General features: G+C 42.0%; 1 protein-coding gene and 2 non-coding genes across 7 annotated transcripts in view, besides 4 other annotated features; 2 read left to right on the forward strand and 1 right to left on the reverse strand.

Annotated features, from left to right (window-relative positions):
- Nucleotides 1-25,173, forward strand: part of RASSF3 (Ras association domain family member 3) — a 190,601-nt gene that overhangs the window by 107,507 nt on the left and 57,921 nt on the right. The window lies entirely within an intron of this gene.
- Nucleotides 6,961-7,120: an enhancer, noted in NCBI's record as "active region_6597". NCBI's record gives its function as "activates an Ori minimal core promoter by ATAC-STARR-seq in GM12878 lymphoblastoid cells {active_cell/tissue: GM12878}" and the evidence as "EXISTENCE:reporter gene assay evidence [ECO:0000049][PMID:35858748]".
- On the reverse strand, nt 8,039-8,135 carry MIR548Z (microRNA 548z). The gene has a single exon (NR_037515.1). It is a non-coding gene; the product is annotated as a microRNA 548z (primary transcript).
- Nucleotides 8,039-8,135, forward strand: MIR548C (microRNA 548c). The gene has a single exon (NR_030347.1). It is a non-coding gene; the product is annotated as a microRNA 548c (primary transcript).
- Nucleotides 11,025-11,741: an enhancer, noted in NCBI's record as "H3K27ac hESC enhancer chr12:65019275-65019991 (GRCh37/hg19 assembly coordinates)". NCBI's record gives its function as "activates a minimal SCP1, AML or CMV promoter by ChIP-STARR-seq in primed H9 embryonic stem cells {active_cell/tissue: H9 hESC(primed)}" and the evidence as "EXISTENCE:reporter gene assay evidence [ECO:0000049][PMID:30033119]".
- Nucleotides 11,098-11,217: an enhancer, noted in NCBI's record as "active region_6598". NCBI's record gives its function as "activates an Ori minimal core promoter by ATAC-STARR-seq in GM12878 lymphoblastoid cells {active_cell/tissue: GM12878}" and the evidence as "EXISTENCE:reporter gene assay evidence [ECO:0000049][PMID:35858748]".
- Nucleotides 11,139-11,328: a silencer, noted in NCBI's record as "fragment chr12:65019389-65019578 (GRCh37/hg19 assembly coordinates)". NCBI's record gives its function as "represses an EF-1alpha promoter that drives an FKBP-Casp9 reporter gene in an ReSE screen in HepG2 liver carcinoma cells {active_cell/tissue: HepG2}" and the evidence as "EXISTENCE:reporter gene assay evidence [ECO:0000049][PMID:32094911]".

Consider the following 25,173-nt stretch of genomic DNA (forward strand, 5'->3'; position numbering starts at 1 on the left):
CCCAAAAACTGTATGAAACATTAACTTAATGAAAGGGGGAGGTATTATTTAGTGATTGTATAAGGCCCACACCTAGATAGCAAGAAGGCTGGAACTCAGGTTTTCAGACTCAAATTACACTCTCTATTTTGTTACTTTTTAGCTATAAAAATAATTTTATGGCTCCATATTCCCTTTGCAAATAAGGACACCTAAAATTTAAGAGTTTCTTAAAATTTCTTTTCTTTTCTTTTTTTTTTTTTTTTGAGATAGATTCTTACTGTGTCACCCAGACTGGAGTGCAGTGGCAGGATCTTGGCTCACTGCAACCTCCATCTCCCAGGATCAATTGATTCTCATACCTCAGCCTCCTGAGTAGTTGGGATTACAGGCACCCGCTGCCAGGCCTGGCTTTTTTTTTTGTATTTTAGTCTAGATGGGGTTTTGCCATGTTGGCCAGGCTGGTCTTGAACTTCTGACCTTAAGTGATCTGCCCTCCTTGGCCTCCCAAAGTGCTGGGATTATAGGCATGAGCCACCGCGCCTGGCTGTTTCTTAAAATTTCAACTCCCTGACCTGCATATAGTCATGACAGTGTTTATAATTTGTATTTGTGGATTCACGTATTTGTGGATTCGCTGTGTTTCAAAGGATCCACCTAATCATTGTTTTCAGCAAAACCAAAAATGTGGACAGTTGTGTAATTTATTATTTGCCTTCTTGATTTCCCACCAAAATCAAACTACCTGTAAATACAGGACACATTCAGATTTCCAAAGAATAGAAATGGTCTAAAGTTATAATCTGTCAGAGTGTGTCTTACCTCTTAGCTAAGCTACCTCTCCTCCTGAGCCTTTGGTAGTTCATGGGAATAAGGAAATGAGACAGTATTTTTGCTTTAGAAGTAGGGTAGTCAAGAAGTCTTGAGAAACGTGAAATTGTCTTCTGAACAACCCACACTTTAAAAAAAATTGCGCTGAAGAATTTTACTTCAGTAAGTAAGTCTATTAGACTCCCCATAGCAGGCCTCAACTTCACCCTTTCGGTTTTCTCTTTCTTATTCAAATATTTTTGTGCCTCAATTATTTGGTTGTGTCTTATTGCTAGAATCAACAGTAATGAGCTGCACTCTTTTATTAGTGTTTCCATTAGAAGTTTAGAGCTAGATCACTGGGGTAAAAGAATAGTGGTTTATGACATAATAGGTATTTTGACTCTACTAGCCTTTTTCTTTTTTTTTTTTTGAGACGGAGTTTCGCTTTTGTCACCCAGGCTGGAGTGCAGTGGTGTGATCTCGGCTCTGCAACATCTGCCTCCTGGGTTCAAATGATTCTCCTGCCTCAGCCTCCCGAGTAGCTGGGATTACAGGCTCCCGCCACAGTGCCTGGCTAATTTTTTGTATTTTTAGTAGAGACGGGCTTTCACCATGTTGGGCAAACTGGTCTCAAACTCCTGACCTCAGGTGATCCACCCACCTCGGCCTCCCACAGTGCTAGGATTACAGGTGTGAGCCACCACTCCTGGCCTATACTAGCTTTTTAAATGCTGATTTTTAATTCCCGTATTATGGGGCATAAACATTTTCACCAGACATTTTGCCTAGGGCAAGGTGATTTACACATCTTTTCTGCATGTCTGATATGTTCTGTTCTTACACGATATTAATCCATTGGAATTTTGTGTTTGTGTGAGCAAGATTCACAAAGGCATATTCCTTTAAATGAATTTCAGAAGAAAAAGTTTCCAGTCCTATAAAGCCTCATATTTGAGTAGTATACTCCTTATCCCATTTCTTCTTCTGGCCAACTCACAAGATTTGGAATTATTTGGAAAGCAGTGACACAAAACATTTTTGAAAAGAAAGGCTAAAAATATCCAATAATGTGGTTATTCTTTTTAGACTTCCTTTGGCAGTCAGTGCATGTCATACGGTTAACATTCTTTTTCTGGGAGAAAAAAAAACTGAGTCTGACCAAATACTTTCTAGTGTGGCCTGATCACCAACTCTTAGCCCTGGGCATTAGCCCTCGCATTTTCCACCCCCAAGTCTCCAAGCATAAGTAGCTGTCTTTCAATAAAGGCCCCAGTTTGAAACGTGTATTTCACTCCTAATTTGGCCAAAGGCCATTGGCTAGCAGTCCCTCTTCAGAGGGGATGGTGAAAAGACAGTAGGATATATGATAAATGCATGCAAAGGAGCTTCTCTTCTATATGACAAGTCTTGGCTAACTTAGCCTCTTTGCATCTTCCTCTGTTTGAAGAGCTACACACATTTGCCTTGTAGGAAGTTTTTATTCTCATGGCAAGCAGGCATTACCTCTATTACAAGGCCCCGCTTATTGTTCACCCTGTGATGTAAGAGCTTTTAGGACTCCAACAATATTAGCCTTCTCTTTAATTCCTTTCAGGCCCCATCGCCATCTCAGAACCATGGCCTGGAGTTGCCGCCCTCCATTCTCCTTAACATGTCGACTCAGAAAAGTCTTAAAGCCCGCTGTTCTTTCCCTTCATAGCAAAAATTATAATTTATCATTATATTTTGTTTAATGAGGACAGAGACTAGCATTTTTTACCTACTACATAATATAAATGCTTGGCACTTAAGGTGCTTGAACAAATGAAAGCCTGCTCATTTTGGATGGATGTCCCAGTATTTGGTACTGTTAGTTTTCCTTTATACACAAATGTACACAATGTCTCCCCCTTTCCAAACTAGACCATAAGCCTTCACAGTATCTTACAGGTAGTAGTGATTTAAAATGGGATGATATTGGTAATATCTGTGATTACTGGTTAAGCATAACTCACTTTATATACTTTCCCCTTGTTTTAAGAAAACTCATCATTTATTCATTAATATATTTAGTTGACAATTTATTGTGTGCCTCCTATGTGCCAGATACTGTTCTAACCTCTGGGGTTAGGGTGGTGAACAATACACAGTCCCTGGCCTCTTTTGGCAATGTTTTTAAAAAGCTTACCCAATAGGCAAATGAAAATATCTCTCTAATTTTTCCCTAAAGAGCTTGCTCCTTTAGTGTATTTGAGGAAACTTTGAAATGTAGTTTTTCAGGAACACACCTATTTTGTAGTGTGGTAAAGCTATACATTGATTGATTGATTGGTTGAGACGGAGTCTTGCTCTGTCACCCAGGCTGGAGTACAATGATGCGATCTCCACTCACCGCAACCTCTGCCTCCTGGGTTCAAGCAATTCCCCTGCCTCAGCCTCCCCAGTAGCTGGGATTACAGGTGCGTGCCACCACATGGGGCTAATTTTTTATATTTTTAGTAGGGATGGGGTTTCACCATATTGGCCAGGCTGGTCTTGAACTCCTGACCTTGTGATCTGCCCGCCTCGGCCTCCCAAAGTGCTGGGATTACAGGAATGAGCTACCGTGCCCGGCCCTATACATCTGTTTAGATGGGAATGTTGACGTGGAAGTGTATCACTTCCTGTTTTACGTCCCTGTGTAAAACAATCACATTTCCTTATTGATGACTGTCTTCCAACAGAAACGTAATCATCTTCAAGGTTAGAAAATGTTTTTTAAATAACTTCAACCAGCGTTAACCAAACTGGTTAATTCACCAAAATGTTAACCAAAATTAACCAAATCAAATTTGGTTTATTTTCCAGGTCTCTTTTTTCTTTTCTTTTTTCATTTTTAAAGAGATGGGATCTTGCTATGTTGCCCAAGCTAAAATGCAATTGTTATTCACAGGCATGATAATAGTGCCCTATAGCCTCGAACTCCTGGGCCCACATGATCCTCCTGCCTTAGCCTCCTGAGTATTCCAGGTTTTTCTTAATAGTTTAAACAGGTAGTTCTGGTTTGGCTATCAGTAGTGTTGTCAAATAGCTTTTGTTTGCTTAATTTTATTTTTATTTTTTTTGAGACAAGTCTTGATCTGTTGCCCAGGCTGGAGTGCAGTGGCGTGATCTCGGCTCACTGCAACCTCCACCTCCTGGGTTCAAGCAATTCTCCTGCCTCAGCCTCCCAAGTAGCTGGGATTACAGGGGCATGCCACCATCCCCGGCTAATTTTTGTATTTTTAAAGTAGAGACGGGGTTATACCATGTTGGCCAGACTGGTCTCAAACTCCTGACCTCATGATCTGCCCTCCTTGGCCTCCCAAAGTGCTGGGATTACAGGCGTGAGCCACCACGCCCGGCCTTTTGTTTTTGTTTTTGTTTTTTTTAAATGGAGAGGGCCAGATAATGCTCTAGGAAGGATGTCAGAACCCATAAAAAATGATGAGTATTTGAAATATATGTAAAAACTTAAGTAACAAATCAGAAAATATATTCTGAGATAGAAGTGACCATTCTAAAACTGTGCTGTACAATACAGTAGTCACTAGCTACATGTAGTTTTTAAGCAATCGAAACGTGGCTAGTCTGATTGAGATTGCTGTGAAAAATACACACTGGATTTTGAAGATTAGAAATGTACCCTAAAACTTAAAGTATAATAATAAAAAAAAAGAAAGAATGTAAAATATGATAATTAAAAAATTGCAATTACATGTTGAAATGATAATATTCGATAATATTTGAGTTAAGTAAATTTAATGTTACTTATTTTTTAGCATGGCTATGGAAAACTTAAAATTATGCATGTGGCTCGCATGATATTTTTGTTGAACAATGCTGTTTGCTGAAGCAGGGCTGGCAGCCCTTGCCAGAGGTTTGAATCTCCATTGTCTTGGTGGCTGCAGATGGATGGATGTGGGGGTACCAGCCTGGTGTGTTGGGAAGATTTTTCTTTGTGAAGGGGAACTTGCCCTTTACTGTTGGGGATAGTTTCTTCTCAGCCTATCCAGGGACACACATACCAGCATTTTGGGGTTGTGAAACTTTTGTGTGGGGAACTTCCCTTTTTTTTTTCCACATGAGCCAATAAGATAAAACTGACCTAATGGCATTCTCGGTGCAACTCTGCCTTCAGTTTAAGGACAGAAGAGGGCTCATGTTTCATAGAGTATTAAAGGAGCAAGCTTAATATTTTGCATTTTGTGGACTGTAATTGCTAACTGCTGCTACATGATTCAGTCAGCTAAGAATAATTTACTAATTATATATTGCCTCACTTGGTTCTTTTTCCAGATGCTAAACAAGGTGAGATAATTAGAGGAGGAAAAAGGGTGAGTTTGGGAATTGGAGACCAGAAGGATGGATTTAGAAGATCTTGGAGTTAACGGACTTAGAATATAGTCAGCAAAGAGTTCACTTAAAATTAGTGCAGGTTGCCAGGCGTGGTGGCTCACGCCTGTAATCCCAGCACATTGGGAGGCCAAGGCGGGCGGATCACGAGGTCGGGAGTTCAAGACTAACCTGGCCAATATAGTGAAACCCCGTCTCTACTAAAAATACAAAAATTAGGCAGGCATGGTGGTGCATGCCTGTACTCCCAGCTACTCGGTAGGCTGAGACAGGAGAATCGCTTGAACCTGGGAGGTGGAGGTTGTGGTGAGCCGAGATTGCGCCACTGCACTCCAGCTTGGGCAACAGAGTGAGACTTTATATCAAAAAAAAAAAAAAAAGAAATTAGTGCAGGTTGACTGTGTGTGTGTGTGTGTGTGTGTAGTTTTCTGAATTCATTTTTCAAGTATTGAATATTCACAATGATGCTAGACTAAGTGCTAGAGATTTGGTGGTGAACGAAACAGATTGAAACCTGCCTTCATGGGGGGCGTATATAGGTTCGTCTGACTAGTCTAGATAAGTGAATTTGTGTAGTAATTGTTTTTTTGTAACTGGCTTAGTTTACTTAGCTTGATGTCATCAAGATTTATTCATGTTGGAGTATGTGTCAGAATTTCCTTCCTTTTAAAGGCTGAATAATATATCCATTGTATGTATATATCACTTTTTGTTTATCCATTGATTCTTCCATAGACATTAGGATTGCTTCCACCTTTTGGCTCATGTGAATAATGATGCTGTGAACAGGGGTGTACAAATATCTCTTAAAGACCCCTCTTAAAACTTTTTGCGATATATACCCATAAGTAACAGTTGCTATAGAATCATATGGTAATTCTGTTTTTAATTTTTTGAGGAATACTATACTGACAAATTTGAATCCTTATTTAAACCCAGGATTATGGAATACTGCTGCTTGATTTCAGCTGTCATTTTGTTGTCTACATTGTATTTTATTGAATTGGCGTTATTCCCAAATATTGGAAAATGTGGAGGTTTCTAATTTTTGCTACTGTAAATAGCACTAATAAATACCTTGAGCATGAAACCTTTTCCATTATGGATTAATTTTATAGGATAGTTGTACAAAAATGGAATTTTACTAATTATGAGGGTGTGACTTTTTATGATTCTAGTTATATATTGCCAATTTATGTCTATTTTTAAGTTTCATTACACCCTTACTTCCATTGGATATAGTCATTAAAATAGAGAAAAAAAACTTCAATAACTAAAGGCACCTTATTGCTATTTAATTTACATTCCTTTATTATTATTTTTTAAATTATTATTTTTTGAGGTGGAGTTTTACTCGTCACCCAGGCTGGAGTGTAATGGCGCGATCTTGGCTTACTGCAACCTCCGCCTCCCAGGTTCAAGAGATTCTCCTGCCTCAGCCTCCCAAGTAGCTGGGATTACAGGCGCCTGCCACTACGCCCTGCTAATTTTTGTATTTTTAGTAGAGATGGGGTTTCACCATGTTGGCCAGGCTGGTCTCAAACTCCTGACCTCAGGTGGTCCACCCACCTCGGCCTCCCAAAGTGCTGAGATTACAGACGTGAGGCACTGCGCCTGGCACATTCCTTTAATTAACTGTGAATTTAATACTTTTTAAATACTTCTGAGTAAATCTCCCTTGTGTGAGAATTGTCCATGCATGACCTTTGCCCATTTGTCTATTAGGTAGGCAAAATCTTGAGAGAGCACTGCTTGAGTCTGTGCATTTTTAGCTTGGTAGATGGTTCTGCTTTTTTGAGGTCAGCTGAACTTCAGGGTTTTTTTTGACTTACACTGTTTGTACCAAAAGGATATTACATATTCAGGCTTTCATTTTTTTAAGATGGAGTTTCGGTCATGTTGCCCAGGCTGGAGAGCAATGGTGCGAACTTGGCTCACTGCAACCTCCGCCTCCCAGGTTCAAGTGATTCTCCTGCTTCATCCTCCCAAGTAGCTGGGATTATGGGCATGCGCCACTATGCGCGGCTAATTTTTGTATTTTTAGTAGAGACAGGATTGATCAGGCTGGATGGTCTCGAACTCCTGATCTCCGGTAATCTACCCGCCTGGGCCTCCCAAAGTGCTGGGATTATAGGCGTGAGCCACCGTGCCCGGCCCAGGCATTTTGAAATACTTCAGAATGTGTTTCAGGCTGACATCACTGAAACTCAGAAAAATACTTATTACTCCTGTAGTTACAACATGGGAAAGGCATTGCTAAGAAAGCATCACCATAAATAAACCCGTGGGATTCAGAAGGTGGGGAGTTGGGTGATGTGTTTTCTACTAACCATGTGTTTTAAAAAAAAGGGTGACTAGAAGTTCCTGTTTATCTTTGAATTTCAATAAATTTAGGGCTTGTTTTCCAACCACTCTGGTAGAATTTAGAAGAACCTAACTTATTTATTTTTATCTTTTTGACAGTCTTGCTCTGTCACCAGGCTGGAGTGCAGTGGCGCGATCTTGGCTCACTGCAATCTCTGCCTCCCAGATTCAAGCTATTTTCCTGCCTCAGCCTCCTGAGTAGTTGGGATTACAGGCATGCACCACCATGTCCAGCTATTTTTTTTTTTTTTTTTGTATTTTTAGTAGAGTCAGGGTTTCACCATGTTGGTCAGGCTGGTGTCAAACTCCTGAGCTCGTTATCCGCCTGCCTTGGCCTCCCAAAGTGTTGGGATTACAGGTGTGAGCCACCGTGCCTGGCCAGTCCTAACTTATTTTGTAAGTATACTAGGTATTGAAAAAAGGATGGTAGGACAAACTGCTGGAAACCTTACCCACCAAAGATAATTTATACTGTTTACTTATAGGCTTACTGTCTTTTGTTGAAAAATTGCGATGAGAAAGGAATCGGCATTGGCATCTATTAGGTTGGTGCAAAAGTAATTGCGGTTTTTGCCATTACTTTCAGTAGCAAAAATCTCAATTACTTTTGCACCAACTTAATACTTTCAGGCTTGTTGAAGCCTAAGTAGAAAATTGTTGCTTAATCTCTTTTATTCTGATTAACTCCTACTTTAAATTTTTTCTTTCAGAATCTTTTTATCAAGTGAATCTTTTAAAAAGATGTGAAGAGTTACTTCTGACTTTATGATTGATAGATTATGAGCCCTCCTTAATCCCCAATTTCTTAATTCAAACAAGCTTACTGTGAAAATTTTCTTTTTTCTTTCTTTTTTTTTTTGAGATGGAGTCTTGCTCTGTTGCCCAGGCTGTAGTACAGTGGCACGATCTTGGCTCACTGCAACCTCCATCTCCTGAGTTCAAGTGATTCTTCAGTCTCAGCCTCCCCAGTAGCTGGGAATACAGGCGCATACCACCATGCCCAGCTAATTTTTGTATTTTTAGTAGAGACGGGGTTTCACCATGTTGGTCAGGCTGGTCTCGAACCCCTGACCTCAGGTGATCCGCCTGCCTCGGCCTCCCTGAGTGCTGAGATTATAAGCATGAGCCACCGCGCCCGGCCACCGTGAAAATTTTCTACAAATGCTTGTTTCGAGGAATCTTTTTTGATATTTTGCCAGCAAAGTCATAGGAGCAAAATTTTTTTAAATGAAAATAGAAAACAACATAGTTAAATATATCACGTAGGAGGAAAAGTACCAGTACCAAAATTAACTTTAGCATTTCTTAGTGTTTTACAGTTAACAGGGCATTCCAAGGGAATTAAAATTCAGTTGATTTTATTGGACTTTAATTTCAGAGGAACTCTGAGATGAGAAATTTAACTAGCACGTTTATCCGTTTAGGCCTTAAGCAGATGCAGGTTTCATGACATGCCAGAGGTAAATTTAGGGGTACTTGACTGTAGTGAGTAATTTCCCAGCTATGGGAAAATGTAAATATTATGTAGATGGTATAAAGAAACAATATTACGTTTGTCCATTTAAGGTCTGTTTCTGTTTGTTCAGACAGGCTTGTGGATTGCTTTTCTTGCCAGTGTTCCTTTAGGTGGAAGGTACAGCCCTTTCAGATATTTCAGAATTTTATTTTCTTTTATTTTTTTGAGATGGAGTCTCACTCTGTCACCCAGGCTGGAGTGCAGTGGCACGATCTCGGCTCACTGCAGCTTCTGCTTCCCAGGTTCAAGAAATTCTCATGCCTCAGCTTCCCGAGTAGCTGGGATTGCCAGCACCCGCCACCATGCCTGGCTAATTTTTATTTTTATTTTTTTAGTAGAGAGAGAGTTTCACCGTGTTGGCCAGACTGGCCTCAAACTTCTGGCCTCAACCGATCTGCCCGCCTCTGCCTCCCAAAGTGTTGGGATTACAGGGGTGAGCCACCATGTCCGGCCATATTTCTGTTTTAGAATTGCTTTCTTGCTTTTCCTCTGACCAGATTTGGTCACGTGAAACTGTCAATTAGCATGAATGAGGTGCTGCTGCCATGCAGGGGTTTGATCCTTGGCTGTCATGTTGATGGTCTCTGTATCCAAATTAGTATTTGTGAAATTTGGGGGAAGAGAATTTGGGCTTATTGTGTAGCGGAACGAGTACGTTTCATAAAGGCAAACCTAGCACCGATATCAACAAATCCACTTACAATCCATTCCTAAAGGAGGAAGCTCTGTTACAGTTTTAAAATTAACATTACAATGCATCTTGCTTGTTTGAGGTGAGGGCTTAAAACTCAGTAATGAAAAAGAGGGAGAACTATAGGCTAAAAGGGTGTGTGTTCTTAATTGATTAATTGCAAGCAGCTATGTAGGGCACCCTGTGTTTAAATCAGTGCTAGCTGTATTATCTTGAGCAAGTCATTGTACCTCTTTGTTTTTTTAATTTATTTTTATTTTTTACATTTTTAAGAGACAGGGTCTCACTATGTTGCTCAGTTTGGTCTTGAACTCCTGGGCTCAAGTGATCCTCCTGCCTTGGCCTCCCAAAGCGCTGGTATTACAGGTATGGGCCATCACGCCTGGCAAATCGTTGTACCTCTTTGAGCCTCAGTTTCCTCATTTGTAAACTAGTAGGATGCCTGGAAGTTCATAAGCATTAATAAATGTTAGCAATAGTTATTATTTCTTGAGACGGAGTCTTGCTCTGTTGCCCAGGCTGGAGTGCAGTGGCGCGATCTAGGCTCACTGCAAGCTCTGCCTCCTGGGTTATGCCATTCTCCTGCCTCAGCATCCCGAGTAGCTGGAACTACAGGCGCCTACCACCACCCCCGGGTAATTTTTTTTTTTTTTTGTATTTTTAGTAGAGATGGGGTTTGACTGTGTTAGCCAGGATGGTCTCGATCTCCTGACTTCGCGATCTGCCCGCCTCGGCCTCCCAAAGTGCTGGGATTACAGGCGTGAGCCACCGCGCCTGGCCAGCAATAGTTATTTTTAAAAGATCCTCCTACATGTGATTATATGCCCCTTTTCATTTGAGGGTAGTAGACCATATGGAGAACTGACAGTGGTTGAGAGATTTGAAGGGAACTAATAGTCCAGCCAAAGAGCGAAAAATGGCAGGAAATTGGAAATTAGGTCTGTCTCATTGGCTTTATTAACCAAAATGAATTGGGAATCTCAATGTAATTGATCAGGAAGGAGCTCCAGTCATTCCTGGAGGATTAATTTATTATTATTATTATTATTTTTTAGCTGCATACCATATCACTGTGGTGCCTTTGTTTTTGGAATGGAGCTGTTGCCTGCTGACCACGCCTGGGGGCACCTAATCACAAGTCTTTCCCAACTTCTTTTTCCTTTAAAGCAAGCCACTCCAGTTGAAAGAGAATGATTAGACATATGAAAGTGTGGTTTTGTTTGCCCAAGAGTTTATGTATAAGTTAACACATTGTACACTTTTTTTTTTTTTTAAACTTCCTCTTTCTCTCTTATCTGCCTCTGATCACGGGATCCTGGTTAGTTTTGCTCAGGGCAGCTCGCTTGACCTGGTGACAAATTCCGCTTCTTCCTGGGGCTTTCCTTTTTCCTCCAGAAAGTCTTGTGCTCATGGTTTAGGAACTTAGTCACTGTCGTCTTTCTGGTTTTCATGAGATCAAATCAAATAAGGTAATACGTGCAAACTGTATAACGTGCTGCAAAGGCAGACTCTGCTGCTGTCCTTAGAGTCCAGTTCCCTGGCCGTGGCTGGGTTCCCAGCCCTCTGTTCTCTCTCCACAGAGTGACTGTCTCGGCTCTGAGGGTTTCAGCGATACTGGATGCTTCCACATTTAGGAAATAGGCCTGCTTATGCTCCAGTGCAGGCATTAAAGCTCAATGAGTCATGTGATCTGCTTGGCCGACTCTTCAGAGTTCGTTTGTACTCAGTAAAATTAGTATGAGTCTTGGAACCCGGTGGGAAACCTCTTCCTAGTCCTACAGGCCGGATGCGCCTTCTGAGTTTTCATATTATCTCTCCACCCCCAACCTCCCCCTCCTTTGGTTGTATGTTTCTCACAATGAATTGGTTGTTGGAAACTGGCTTTGTAATAATTCCAAATGCCACTGTGAAGATTTTTAATAGCCTTTAAAATTTTTAATTGGCTGAGCTGTAGTGTTATTGATATATTTTTGTATAAATGTTATTATTAACAAGTTAATTCATATAAAGGGCTTGGAACTATACCTGGCATATAAGTACATGTTTAATAAAGATTAACTTATTTCTGCCGGGTGTGGTGGCTCACGCCTGTAATCCCAACACTTTGGGAGGCCGAGGTGGGCAGATCACTTGAGGTCAGGAGTTTGAGACCAACCTGGGCCAACATGGTGAAACCCTGTCTTTACTAAAAATACAAAAATTAGCCTGATGTGCTTGCTTGAACTTAGGAGGCGGAGGTTGCAGTGAGCCGACATCATGCCACTGCACTCCAGCCTGGGCAACAGAGTGAGACTCTTGTCTCAAAAAAAAAAAAAAAAAGAAAAAAAAAGAAAAAGATTAACAGTATTTCTAATGGTATTAGAATTGTTTTATTTTATTTTTTGTTTTTGAGACAGGGTCTCGCTGTGTCACCCAGGCTGGAGTGCAGTGGTGGGATCATGCCTCACTGTAGCTAGCCTTGAACTCCTGGACTCAAGTGATCCTCCCACCTCAACCTCCTGAGTAGCTGGGACTAGAGGTGCATTCTACCATGCCTGGCTAATTTTAAAAAATGTTTTTGTAGAAATGGGGTCTTGCTGTGTTGCCCAGGCTGGTCTGGAACTCCTGGGCTCAAGTGATCCTCCTGCCTTGGCCTCCCAAAGTGTTAGGATTACAGGTGTATGCCACCATGCTCATCCAGCATTCTTAATTAAAATAATTTGGTAGGAGATTTTATGAAGGCAGTATGTTCAGTAGAAAGGTTTGGGGATCCAGAATTGGGAGACTATTTTAATTTTGGATCTGTTATTTACTAGCTCTGGGAGCTTGAGCAGGTTCCTTACTTAAGTTCCTTGAGTAACAGTTTCTTGATCTTTAAAACATTATAGAGGGGTTAAATCAGATAATGTATGTGGAATGTATTCCTAGATTATAGATTATTACATAATTGTAAGTGTGGTAGCAATCACAGGTGTGTTTAGAGACTACTAAAAAATGGTTTTCTCTTTTAATCTTGTCTGATGTAAATTAATGACACATTCTCAGTCGACTGTAGTATTGACACTTGATAAACAGTTTTTGAAAATGAATTTATTCTCCATCTCTTCTATGTCTGCTTTTATCTGCAAAGTCGTGATTTGTGTTTGGGGACTTGAACAATTGATAGCTAAGCATCAACTTTAAATTGCTTTATGAATTGATGATTGTGTTTATGAAGCACTGGTGATTTGGGGGAAGATGACATTTTAGCTTACTGTTGGATGCATCAGGGAACTTGAGTTAATTTAGCTTTAAGCCTTCCAGATTATCCTGCCTATGAGCTTCACAAGGGCAGACCACATCTCTAGTTTTCACCATGATATTTTCAGTGCTATCTTGGTGCCTGGCACAGAGGACAGAGGGAGTCCCAATTATATTTGTTAATTGACCACCTGGTTTTCATCTGATCAGACTTGTGTCAGAATTATAATCAAGGAAAAGTTGGGCAAAGGCACTAAAATGAGTTTCTTTTGGTTTCAGAGGGAGTAATAATAAAACAACAGTAATAGCTTATGTATTCATGTGGAAATAGGACATTTAGGTGAAAAGTACGTTGGGCCAGGGGTATGGAGATCTAGCTCCTAGGACTGGTCCTTTATTAAATAGCAGAGATAACTTTGGGAGAGTTACTTAACCATTTTTGGCTTCAGTTTCTTCCTCAAAGGCCCTGTCCAGCTGTGTGGCAAATGGTTAGTTTATTCTGGAGCAGAATTACTGATTGGAGGGAAAGTAACAGCAATAGGATTTGAGAGGGCTTCACAAATGTTTTGAGATGCCAAATGAATTAGTTTAGAAACAGCTATATTAGGTCATATCTGCTTGGATAGGGAGAACCCAAGTGAGTTGAGTCATGGGTGTTTGAGAAATGAATAGAATATGTAGAATTATTTCTTTTCCAAAAGAGGGAATGTCTTGGGAAAGAAATCAAAGGGAACCTGGGTGATATCTTTGATTCATCCCCTATCTAGTGCCAACAAGAACAAGTTTCTTTCTTTCTTTTCCTTTTTCTAAGAATGGATTTCATGTAAGCCAAAAGAACACTTGATTGTTCTGAACTTGTATATATTGCAGGAGTTATAAATATAATATCAAGAACTATTTAATAAGAGCCCACCAGCAGTTCCACGTTCCTCAAAACCAGGACAGGATGAATGTATGAGAATCATCTTCTTACTGAGAATGGTAGGACAGAAGGGATAGTTTAGCCACTATACTTCCTGGAAGAATCAGTACTTGAGGGTTGCTGCAGCTTTTTGGGATTGAAGGAGTATGTTCATTTCCTTTGGAAGATTAATTTTTTCCTTTTTTTTGACATGGAGTCTCTCTCTGTCGCCCAGGCTGGAGTGCAGTGGCACGATCTTGGCTCACTGCAACCCCACCTCCCAGGTTCAAGCAATTCTGCCTGCCTCAGCCTCCCGAGTAGCTGGGATTACAGGCATGCACCACCACACTTGCCTAATTTTTGTATTATTAGTAAAGATGGGGTTCTGCCATGTTGGCCATGCTGGTCTTGAACTCGTGACCTAAGGTGATCTGCCTGCCTTGGCCTCCCAAAGTGCTGGGATTACAGGTGTGAGCCACTACACCCGGCCTGATTAATTTCTTTTACTTGCTTCAAGTGTCTCCTTTATTCCAGCCTACACATAGAGGTAAATATTCCTAGGAAACTTTCAGCAAGTTAAATCCTATTATAAAATGCCAGAGTCAGTTGTCTAATTTTTATTTTATTTTATTATTATTATTTTTTTGAGACAGGGTCTTGCTTTGTCACCCAGGCTGGAGTGCAGTGGCGTGAACACAGCTCACCACAGCCTTCACCTCCCAGGCTCAAGTGATCGTTCCAGTTCAGCCTCCTTAGTAGCTGGGATCACAGGTGCAGACCACCACACCCGACTAATTTTCTTTTTTTTTTTTTTAAGACAAGGTCTCACTCTGTCGTCCAGGCTGGAGTACAGTGGCGTGACTTTGGCTCACTGCAACCTCTGCCTATGGGTTCAAGCAATCCTCCCACCTCAGCCTCCCGAGTAGCTAGGACTACAGGTACGTGCCACCACACCCAGCTAATTTTTCGTATTTTTTTTTTTGTAGAGATGGGGTTTCACAGCATTGCCCAGGCTGGTCTCAAACACCTGGGCTCAAGCCGTCTGTCTGCCTTGACCTCCCAAAGTGCTGGGATTATAGGCATGAGCCACTGCGCCCGTCCCACTGCTATTCTTCCAGCTAGAAGGACTATACTTAAATGCATAATTATACAACCTTTTGATATGTTATGAAAATCATAAAAAATTATTTTTCTAGCAACTCCTGCCCTTTTCATTAAACAGATCCTAGTAGTCCTGAAATTCTGTGGTGGATTTTTATATGTAATGTGATAATATGAAGAAATAGCTGATTTTGGTAGCTGCTCACATATTATGTTTGTTTTAATTGGAAAAGTTGGCCTATGAAAATGAGTGTTGTATAAAAATGGTTTATGTGGACCAGGCGCGGTGGCTCATGCCTGTAATCCCAGCACTTTGGGAGGCCGAGGTGGGTGGATCACCTGAGGTCAGGAGTTTGAGACCAGCCTGGCCAACGTGATGAAACCCCATCTCTACTAAAAATACAAAAATTAGCTGGGCATGGTGTGTGCGCCTGTAATCCCAGCTACTCGGGAGGCTGAGGCAGGAGAATCACTTGAACCTGGGAGGTGGAGGTTGCAGTGAGCTGAGATTGTGCCACTACTCCAGCCTGGGTGACAGAGCAAGACTCCATCTCAAAAAAAAAAAAAAAAGAAAAAGAAAAAAAGAACAAGAAAGAAAAATGGTTTATGTGAACTAAAAGGTTGTTTGCATTTTGTGGCAAATAACAGCACCAAATTCCCAGATCCTAAATGTTTCAGTTATGAAATATTTGAAGTACCTCTGAATTTACACATAGGCATTCCACTCATGTAAGCACTCATTGATTTTAAGATTTTTCATTCATCAAAAGGGAAAATGTGGGCTGCCATATGTATAATTTTTGTCATCCAAAAAAGAGATATAAAGTTAAAAATTAGCAAGGCCATGGTGGGTCATGCCTGTAATCCCAGCACTTTGGGAGGCTGAGGCAGGAGGATTGTTTAAGCCCAGGAGTTTGAGACCAGACTGGGCAACAGAGCGAGACATTGTCTTTACTGAAAAAAGAGAAATTATCCAAATATGGTGGTTTGTGCCTGTAGTCCCAGCTATTTGGGAGGCTGAGGCAAGAGGTTTGCTTGAGCTTAGCAGTTTGAGGCTGCAGTGAGCTATGGTCACACCACTGCACTGTAGCCTGAATGACAGAGACAGACCCTATCTCAAAAACAAAACGAAATTTAAAAAAAGGGTGCTTAGAAATCCTGAACTGTTCTTTTTACTCCCAGGACATGTGATCATATGCCTACTCAGGAATGAGTTATAGCTAGTTCTCAGTAGATGTTTAGTTATTAAAATGGAATGAAGGCATGAATGTGGGGATGAAGTAGAGGAGGGGCTGGGTTGGAGATACTGGTTAATTGGGAGGCATTAGTAACACTGAATGTGGGCAGAGAGGTGGTGAGAAAGAGGAGTCAAGGAAGAGTTGTAGGTTTCTGGTTTGGGAGCCTTGGAAGATGGTGCTAGCAAGCAGCCACTCACCAAGAAATCAAGTAAGAAGAAAGATCAGGTTTAGGAGGGAAGACACATTCAGGCAATCAATATATGGCATACACCAGGCAGTCAATAAATTTTGAGTGAGTAAATCTGGGCATGTGTGTTTTGAGATGTCTGTGGGCTATCAAAGTTTCTGGAGTTTCTTATCAAGAAGGTAGACCTGGTCTGCAGAGAGAGCTTCAGGATTCGTTGAAGTCATGGGCTTAGATGAACTATGTGTGTAAAGCAAAAAAGGTGTCTTTAGACAGAAGCATGGAGGATACCACAGAAGCATGGGGGCACCAGCAGGTAAGAAGTGGGCAGAGAAGGGCATGTCCATGGAGGAACCAAGGAGTGGTCAGAGAAGCTGGAGAAAAAGAAAAGGGTGGTTGTCCTGGGATCGGAGGTTGGGACCACCTCAAGAACAAGGGCTTGGCCATGGGACAAGTGCTTCAGAAAAGCCAAGAAGGCCTGGGGTGGAACTGTGTGGCAGTCTCTGGAGACCTTGAGGAGAGCCACTCCAGTGAACTGGAGGCGTACAGTCACACTGCAGTGGGTGGTGAGTGAATAGTGCAGAGGAAGCAGGAGAGTGAGTAGAGGTGCTCTTCCGTGAGGCTTGTCTGGCAAGGAGAGGATGGTGTAGTAAAATGAGGAGCCTACAAGGGCGAGGGAAGTGGTAAGGGTGTTGTCATCGTATGTAATGTATGTATGTATGTATGTATGTATGTATGTATGTATGTATGTATGTATGTTGAGACATAGTCTTGCTCTGTCGCCCAGGCTGGAGTGCAGTGGTGCAATCTCTGCTCACTGCAACCTCTGTCTCCCGGGTTCAAGATTCTCCTGCCTCAGCCTCCCAAGTAGCTGGGATTACAGGCACCTGCTACCACACCCAGTTAATTTTTGTATTTTTAGTAGAGATGGAGTTTTGCCATGTTGGCCAGGCTGGTCTCGTCTCAACCTCCTGACCTCAGGTTATCCGCCCACCTCGGCCTCCCAAAGTGCTGGGATTACAGGGGAGAGCCACCATACCCGGCCTGTTTTTTATTTATTTTTAGATGAGAGGACTTCAATGGAAAGAAGACTGAGTGTCAGGGGAGTGAGGATCATTGAAAGAGATGCCTCCCTTCGCACTGGAAGGGATGATATTTGGATTCTAAGTAGAAGGCTGCTTAGAAAGAAGACGTCTCTCCCATCGTTGAGTGGAGGAGAAGTTCAATCTAGAAATGTGTATATAATACAAGAGGGGGTGACTAGGCCTTTCAGTTGGTGGCAGGTGGATATTGATGGAGGAGGTGGGTATGCACATGTGGGAGTGGTGCATGAAGAGAAGCCCACACAGGCAGGCACCGGGCCAGAAGAGGGGAGTGCTGGGGTATTTGGGACCAAGTGGTGGTATGGCTGCAGCAAAGGTTGCCACGCCAAAGGTGTGGTGAAAAACTACGCTGGAAAGGAGGGAGGGTTGGCAGGCTCTGAAAGGCCGTGCTTGCCAGCCTGAGGATTGAATATTTTGTGAGTAAGGAGGAGCCACTTAGGGAGAAATAAAGTGGTCAGACCTATGATTTTAAAACTGACAGCAGAGTTTAGAGGGCAAGAGGGGTAGGGATATTGTTTGGAAGGTGATTGCGGTAACCTGGGTGAAGGTAATTAGGGCTAGAAATAGGATAGTTGCAGTGGGAGAGAGAAGGACTCCAGAAATTGAGTTGTCACATTGGCACCTGATCGACCAGGGTGAGGGGAGGCAAGGAAGGAGACGAGAGAAAAGAAGGAGGTATGGAAGGTGGCTGGGTGGGAGGATGGCCATGCCACTGTGGAATGGGGAGCACGGGAGGAAGAGGAACAGGTTTAGTGAGGTAGGGGAACAACTCGGTTTTAGGGCCTATACGCAACATTTGTGTAGCATCCAGCTGCAGCCAGAATTAAGGGTCTGAAGCTCAGGACAGACCTCAGATCTCATGGAAGCATGAGATCATCATCCTTGAATTGGAAGTGGTTGAGATTTATTTGAAATAACAAGAGAAAAATAAATCTTGATGTGGATATGGACTGGAAGAGTAAACTTCACAGACCATTTGAGTGTATTTTTAACTTTCTTAGAAAAAAAGTCTTTGAAGACCAGAATGTGGTGGTGCTCCACAAATAGCTCAAAATTAGCACATCTAGAATAAGCTAGAAAATAAATCTAAGCAGTTTCAATAGAAATGCTGTTATCTTGATCTGGCTCTATTTGTTTTTTTTCCTATCAGGTTAAAATCTGTTTCTTCAATCATTTTGTTTATTCCTTTTGATAAGAGACTTCAGAGGACTGACAGGGACTAGCTGGTTATGTTTTTGAAAAGTCTTTGAAGATGAAACATATGTTTTGAGTGTGGTGACACTGCATTAATTATTCTCTGGTTTTGACACCAGTGGATACTGATACGGTTTGGATGTGTGTTGCCTTCAAATCTTATGTTGAAACGTGATCCACAATGTTGGAGTTGGGGCCTAGTGGGAGGTATTGGATTATGGGGATGGATCCCTCATGAATGGCTTAGTACCACCTCCTTGGTGATATGTGAGTTCTTACTCTGTTCACGTGAGAGCTGGTTGTTTAAAAAGAGCCTGGCACCTCCTCCTCTCTCTCTTGTTCCCTCTCCTGCCATGTGACCACCTGCTTCCCCTTTTCCTTTCACCTCCTGAGGTCCTCCTGAGGTCCTCACCAGGAGCAGATGTTGGTGCCATGTTTCCTGTGCAGCCAACAGAACTGTGAGCCAAAATAAACCTCTTTTCTTTATAAATTACCTAGCCTCAGATACTCTTTTATAGCAATGAAGAAAAGACAAACACAGAAAATTGGTACCAGGAGAGGGGCATCGCAATAAAGATACCTGAAAATGTGGAACTGGCTTTGGCACTGGGTAATAGGCAGAGATTAGAAGAGTTTGGAGGGGTCAGAAGAAGACAGGAAGACAAGGGAAAGTTTTGGAACTTCTTAGAGACTGATTAAATTTGACCAAAATGCTGATAGAAATATGGACCAAGTGGGGTGGCTCACGCCTATAGTCAGCACTTTGGGAGGCTGAGGTGGGAGGATTGCTTGAGCTCAGGAGTTTGAGACCACCCTGGACAAAGTGGCAAAACTGTATCTCTACAAAAAATACAAAAATTAGCTGGGCATGGTGACATGTCCCTGTAGTCCCAGCTACTGGGGAGGCTGAGGTGGGAAGATGGCTTGAGCCTGGGAGGCAGAGTTTGCAGTGAGCCAGTATGAGTCACTGCACTCCAGCCTGGGTGACAGCCAGACCCTGTATCAAGCAAACAAACAAGAATTGTGTGAGCTGAACTAGTTGAGATGTCTATGGTGTTGGCTGTTGTTTCTGCTGTTAATCATTAGTTCTCTTAAACTAGGAGATGAACAAGGTTAACCTTTTTCTTGCAAATTGACACAGAGGGTCTGCTGCTGTGAGCTTTATCTTCAACATCATCTTGTCCTTTTTTTTTTTTTCCTACTTTGAAAAAAAAATTCATTTTTTCATAGAAATGAGTTCTTACTATGTTATCCAGGCTGGTCTTGAACTCCTGAGCTCAAGTGATCCTCCTCAGCCTCCCAACTGGGATTACATGTGTGAGCCACTGCACCCGGCACTTCTTGAAGGGTTATCCACTTGAAAACTGCTGATTTTTGGGGGGCATTGTCCCCACAAACTTTTCAAAAAGCAACAGTGATTTCACCATTCTGCCCAAGCTTCACCATAAATTTGATGTTTGTTTTTGCTTCAATTTTAGCAGAATTCTAGCCCTGCGTGGTGACAGGCACCTGTATTCTCGGCTACTCCGGAGGCTGAAGCATGAGAATCGCTTGAATTTGGCAGGCAAAGTTTACAGTGAGCCGAGATGGCACCATTGCACTCCAGCCTGCACGACACAGCGAGACACCATCTCATAAAAAAAAAAAAAAAAAAAAAAAAAAAATTAGCAGAATTTATGTTGCTCTGATAGGGGCTCTTTTCAAACTGATGTTTATCCTTCTTAGTGCCTCAAACTAGGTTTTGCTCAGACATGTTATGACAAGTTAGTACAAGTTTATTTTGGTGCAAAAAATTTTTCAAATCCATGCATAGTTTCTTCTTTTTCTTTTCTTTTCTTTTCTTTTTTTTTTTTTTTTGAGACAAGATCTATCTCTGTCATCCAGGCTGAAATACAGTGGTGCAGTCTTGGCTCACTGCAACCTCTGTCACCCTTTTCCCACCTCAGCCTCCTGAGTAGCTAGGACTACAGGTACATACCACTACACCTGGCTAATTTTTGTATTTTTTGGAGAGATAGGGTTTTGACATGTTTCCAAGGCTGGTCTCAAGCTCCTGAGTTCAAGCAATCCATCTGCTTCAGCCTCCCAAAATGCTGGGATTACAGGCATGAGCCACCATGCCTGGCCGTAGTTTTTTCATAATATTCATTTTCCTTGAAATTTTTGATGACCCCTCGTATCTGTATTCCTGTTTTATAGTATCACACATTTATTACGTGCCTGTCTAATACCCATTGCTGTGGTTTTCTCTGGGAATTCAAAGAGGAGTAAGCTAGTAGCTCTGCCTTCTAGCACATGGGCTAGTGGAAAGTCATAAAGAGCCATTTAATGACCACTGTCAATGTCTGTGTAAGGGCAGTGAAGAGCACGCTGCTGTTGATAAGGATGGCTCACATTTATGGTACACTTGCAATACCTTTTACCCATACTGATTCATCTCATTCTCACACCAACTCTGTGATGTGGTACAGTTATTAGAAGAGGCACAGAGAGGTTAAATAGTAGCTGGTAATTAGATTAACCAACGTTAGAAACTGGGTGGTCTGGTGTGAGAGCACAGGCTTTTAAAAAGCGGTAAGAAGAGGGGAAGCTGCAGCCTAGTTAGGGTGACTGTTGTGTTATTGAAGATGAGGGGATGAGGACTTTGTGCATGTGTGTGGAGCCTGGGCTGTGAGGGTCAAGGGACAATGGGAAGGGACATTAAAAGGTTATGGTTAAAGTAAGCCTAGACGGACTAGTTTGAAGTCAAATAGTAGAAGGTGAGGATAGAGAGGGGGATGGGAACCAGATTATGAAAATAGGCAGTATCTCTTTTTTATGTCAAGTGTTACCCTGAAATTCCGAAACTATATTTCTTATGAACATACTGATTACATTCATTGTTATTTAAAAATATGCATGTACAATATGGGTGGAAATGATAATGATTGTAATGAGAGTGGCTCACAATTCCAAAGAAGTTGGGGGTTTCTGTGGGTTTATTATAACTTACGGTTTTTTTTTTTTCTGATATGGAGTCTCACTCTGTTGCCCAGGTTAGAGTGCAGTGGTGCGATCTCTGCTTACTTCAACCCCCGCTTGCCAGGTTCAAGCAATCCTCCCCGCTCAGCCTCCCAAGGCTCCCATTGCAAGCATGCACCACCACGCCTGGCTAATTTTTATATTTTTATTAGAGACAGGGTTTTGCCATGTTGCCAGGCTGGTCTTGGATTCCCGACCTCAGGCTATCTGTCCACCTTGGCCTCCCAAATTGCTGGGATTACAGGCATGAGCCACTGCACCTGGCCAGTTTATTATAATTTAAAAAGCAGTCTGTTATTAGTAGGCTTCGGAAATTTGTTTCAGGGAGTGGTAAGGAAGGAGTTCTAGAAAGTGGTTGTATATTGCTGCATGCTTGTTTTCCTCTCAGATCACAAAGAAAATGTAAAGGACCTGGGTGAGTTCCAAAAATTAAAGTAGCCGGGCGCGGTGGCTCACGCCTGTAATCCCAGCACTTTGGGAGGCCGAGGTGGGTGGATCACCTGAGGTCAGGGGTTCGAAACCATCCTGGCCAACATGGCGAAACCCCTGTCTCTACTAAAAATACAAAATTAGCCGGGCATGGTGGTGCATGCCTGTAATCCCAGCCACTTGGGAGGGTGAGGCAGGAGAATCATTTGAACCTGGGAGGTGGAGGTTGCAGTGAGCGAAATCGCGCCATTGCACTCCAGCCTGGGCAACAAGAGCAAAACTCCGTCTCAAAAAAAAAAAAAAAAAAAGTAAGTTACACACACCCTTACTGGCACACTGGGATTCCTTAAATGCTTGCAGTATTATTGAGTATGGACAATGCACAGAACTTTGTACTAGATACAGTTAGGTTATTCCATGAGAGTCTTGCTTCCTCCCTACATATATTCCCAAGTTTATATGGGGAGACCAATATAATATGATGCAATTTGCAAACAGTAACAGCTGTGTAAATGAGTATAAAGCAATCCAGAGGAGGTTAAAATAAATACATTTAAGGAAGCCCACAGTGATACCTTGATTTATTCTTTTGTGCAACTGTTGTTGAGCAGCAGGCGCCTTGGGGGCTGAATAGAAAAGGGCATACCTCCTGAAGGTAGGAGAAGCTTGGATTTGGGTTTTGAAAGGATAGAAGTTCAAACTGACTGAGTGGGTGTCTTTTATTTTTCTGTAGAAAAAGCATTGGTGTGTGTTTGAAAAGTTTAGATTGTCTCAAAAGCATAATGAGTTTTATAGACTTCTAGGGATTGTCTCCAGAGATAGGTGGGTAGTATGAGTAGTTTCTTTCTTTTTTTTTTTTTTTTTTGAGACAGATTCTTGCTCTGTTGCCCAGGCCCAGGCTGGAGTGCAGTGGCGTGATCTCGGCTCACTGCAACCTCTGACTGCTGGGTTCCAGCAATTCTCATGCCTCAGCCTCCCGAGTAGCTGGGATGGCAGGCGTGTGCCACCATGCCTGGCTAGTTTTTATATTTTTAGTAGAGACAGGGTTTCACCATGTTGGCCAGGCTGGTCTTGAGCTGCTGGCCTCAAGCGATCCACCCACCTCAGCCTCCCAAAGTGCTGGGATTACAGACATGAGCCACCATGCCCAGCCCCTTGAGTAGTTCCTTTCTAGAAACACTCCAAAGTGTGTGTATGTGACTGGGCTGGTTCTAAAATTAGGATGTTGCTTTGTGCCCTTTTTCTATAGTTATCAGATTTTTTTTTTTTTTTTAAAGACAGAGTCTTGCTCTGTCGCCAGGCTGGAGTGCAGTGGCACAATCTTGGCTGACTGCAACCTCCGCCTCCTGGGTTCAAGTGATTCTCCTGCCTCAGCCTCCGGAGTAGCTGGGATTACAGGCATGTGCCACCACGCCCAGCTAATTTTTGTATTTTTAGTAGAGATGGGGTTTCACCATGTTGGCCAGGATGGTCTCCATCTCTTGACCTCGTGATCTGCCCACCTCAGCTGCCCAAAGTGTTGGGATTATAGGCATGAGCCTACGCCCCCGGCCTAGTTATCATATATCTCTACTGAAGAATGCAAGATTATAATAGAAAGGAATTATTTTTGAACTATTATGTTGTAAATATTAATTTATTGAAGTAGGTCAAATGCTAGGAAAGGATTCTTTTTACTATTAAAGTAATTCAGGCATACGGTAATTCTATAAAAGTAGTATGGGCCGGGCGCCGTGGCTCATGCCTGTAATCCCAGCACTTCGGGAGGCCGAGGCGGGCGGATCACAAGGTCAGGAGATCGAGACCATCCTGGCTAATACGGTGAAACCCTGTCTCTACTAAAAATACAAACAATTAGCTGGGCGTGGTGGCGGGCGCCTGTAGTCCCAGCTACTCGGGAGGCTGAGGCAGGAGAATGGCGTGAACCCAGGAGGCGGAGCTTGCGGTGAGCCGAGATCGCGCCACTGCACTGCAGCCTGGGCGACAGAGTGAGACTCCGTCTCAAAAAAAAAAAAAAAAAGTAATATGAATACCTTTTAGTCACCATCCAGTTTAAAAGAAAACATTGCATCATAGTTGAAGCCCTTGGGTCTCAATTGCTGGCCCCATTTGTTCTTCTCCCTGTCGTTTCCCCCAGTTCATTTTGATCATTGCCATCCATCTACTTTATACTTTTATTAAGGATGTGTGGTGTCATATTGTGTGTTTTCTTCTATAGGTTGTTTCTGTTGTTGAACCTTGATTTTGAGATTGACTTTTGTTCTAGTTCCTTCTTCTGAGCTGCTGAACACGCCATAGTGTGCCCATTTTACTGTTGATGGACATTTAATTGTTCTTTCCTCCCATTTTTCTCTATTATGAATGATACTGCAATAAACATCTTTATGGATCTCCTTTTGCATGTGTGAGAGACATTGTGTAGTTATAATCCAAGGCCTGGAACTGCTTAGTCATAGGGAAGGGGCTGTGTCTTCATGTTCATAGGCTACTGCCATACGCAGATTCTTCAGTTCTCTCTTTGAAATGGGAAGCTCTGAGGATTAAGAAATTATTTTTTTAAACCTGTATGCTGATTTTTTTTGAAGCTGTAATGGCGCTTTGCATACTTGTGGTTTAGGGGGTAAATGGAATATACACAATAAGAAATATTTACTGTGTTAATGGTTCATAACTTGTGACTTATGTAAAGTTCCATCTAATTTAAATAATAAATAATAATACTGGCTGCATAGTAATACCTAGGACCACAATGAGAGACTCCGTAAAAAAGAAATTCCTAAACTGTATTTTTTTTTTTTGTATATCTGTGCCCACCTGTAATTTGACTTACAGTGAATGTGGCTTATTTGGGCAGGGGAGACTTTTGAACAGGTGATAACATTTTTGCGTGGCCTTAAAATTTCTATAATTTATTTGAAACTCTTTTTAAACCATCATGTCTCAAAGTGATCAAGTAGAAAGGATCAGGTGCCTTAATTACGAAGAATGGCATAAATCATGACAAGGTCTTTTTGAAGTCACCTGGAATGCTCCCTTTGGGTGAAAGAAGGTTCTGTTCTCTTATCAT

This window comes from Homo sapiens, chromosome 12, assembly GCF_000001405.40.
Source record: "Homo sapiens chromosome 12, GRCh38.p14 Primary Assembly".
NCBI classification, from domain to species: Eukaryota; Metazoa; Chordata; class Mammalia; order Primates; family Hominidae; genus Homo; species Homo sapiens.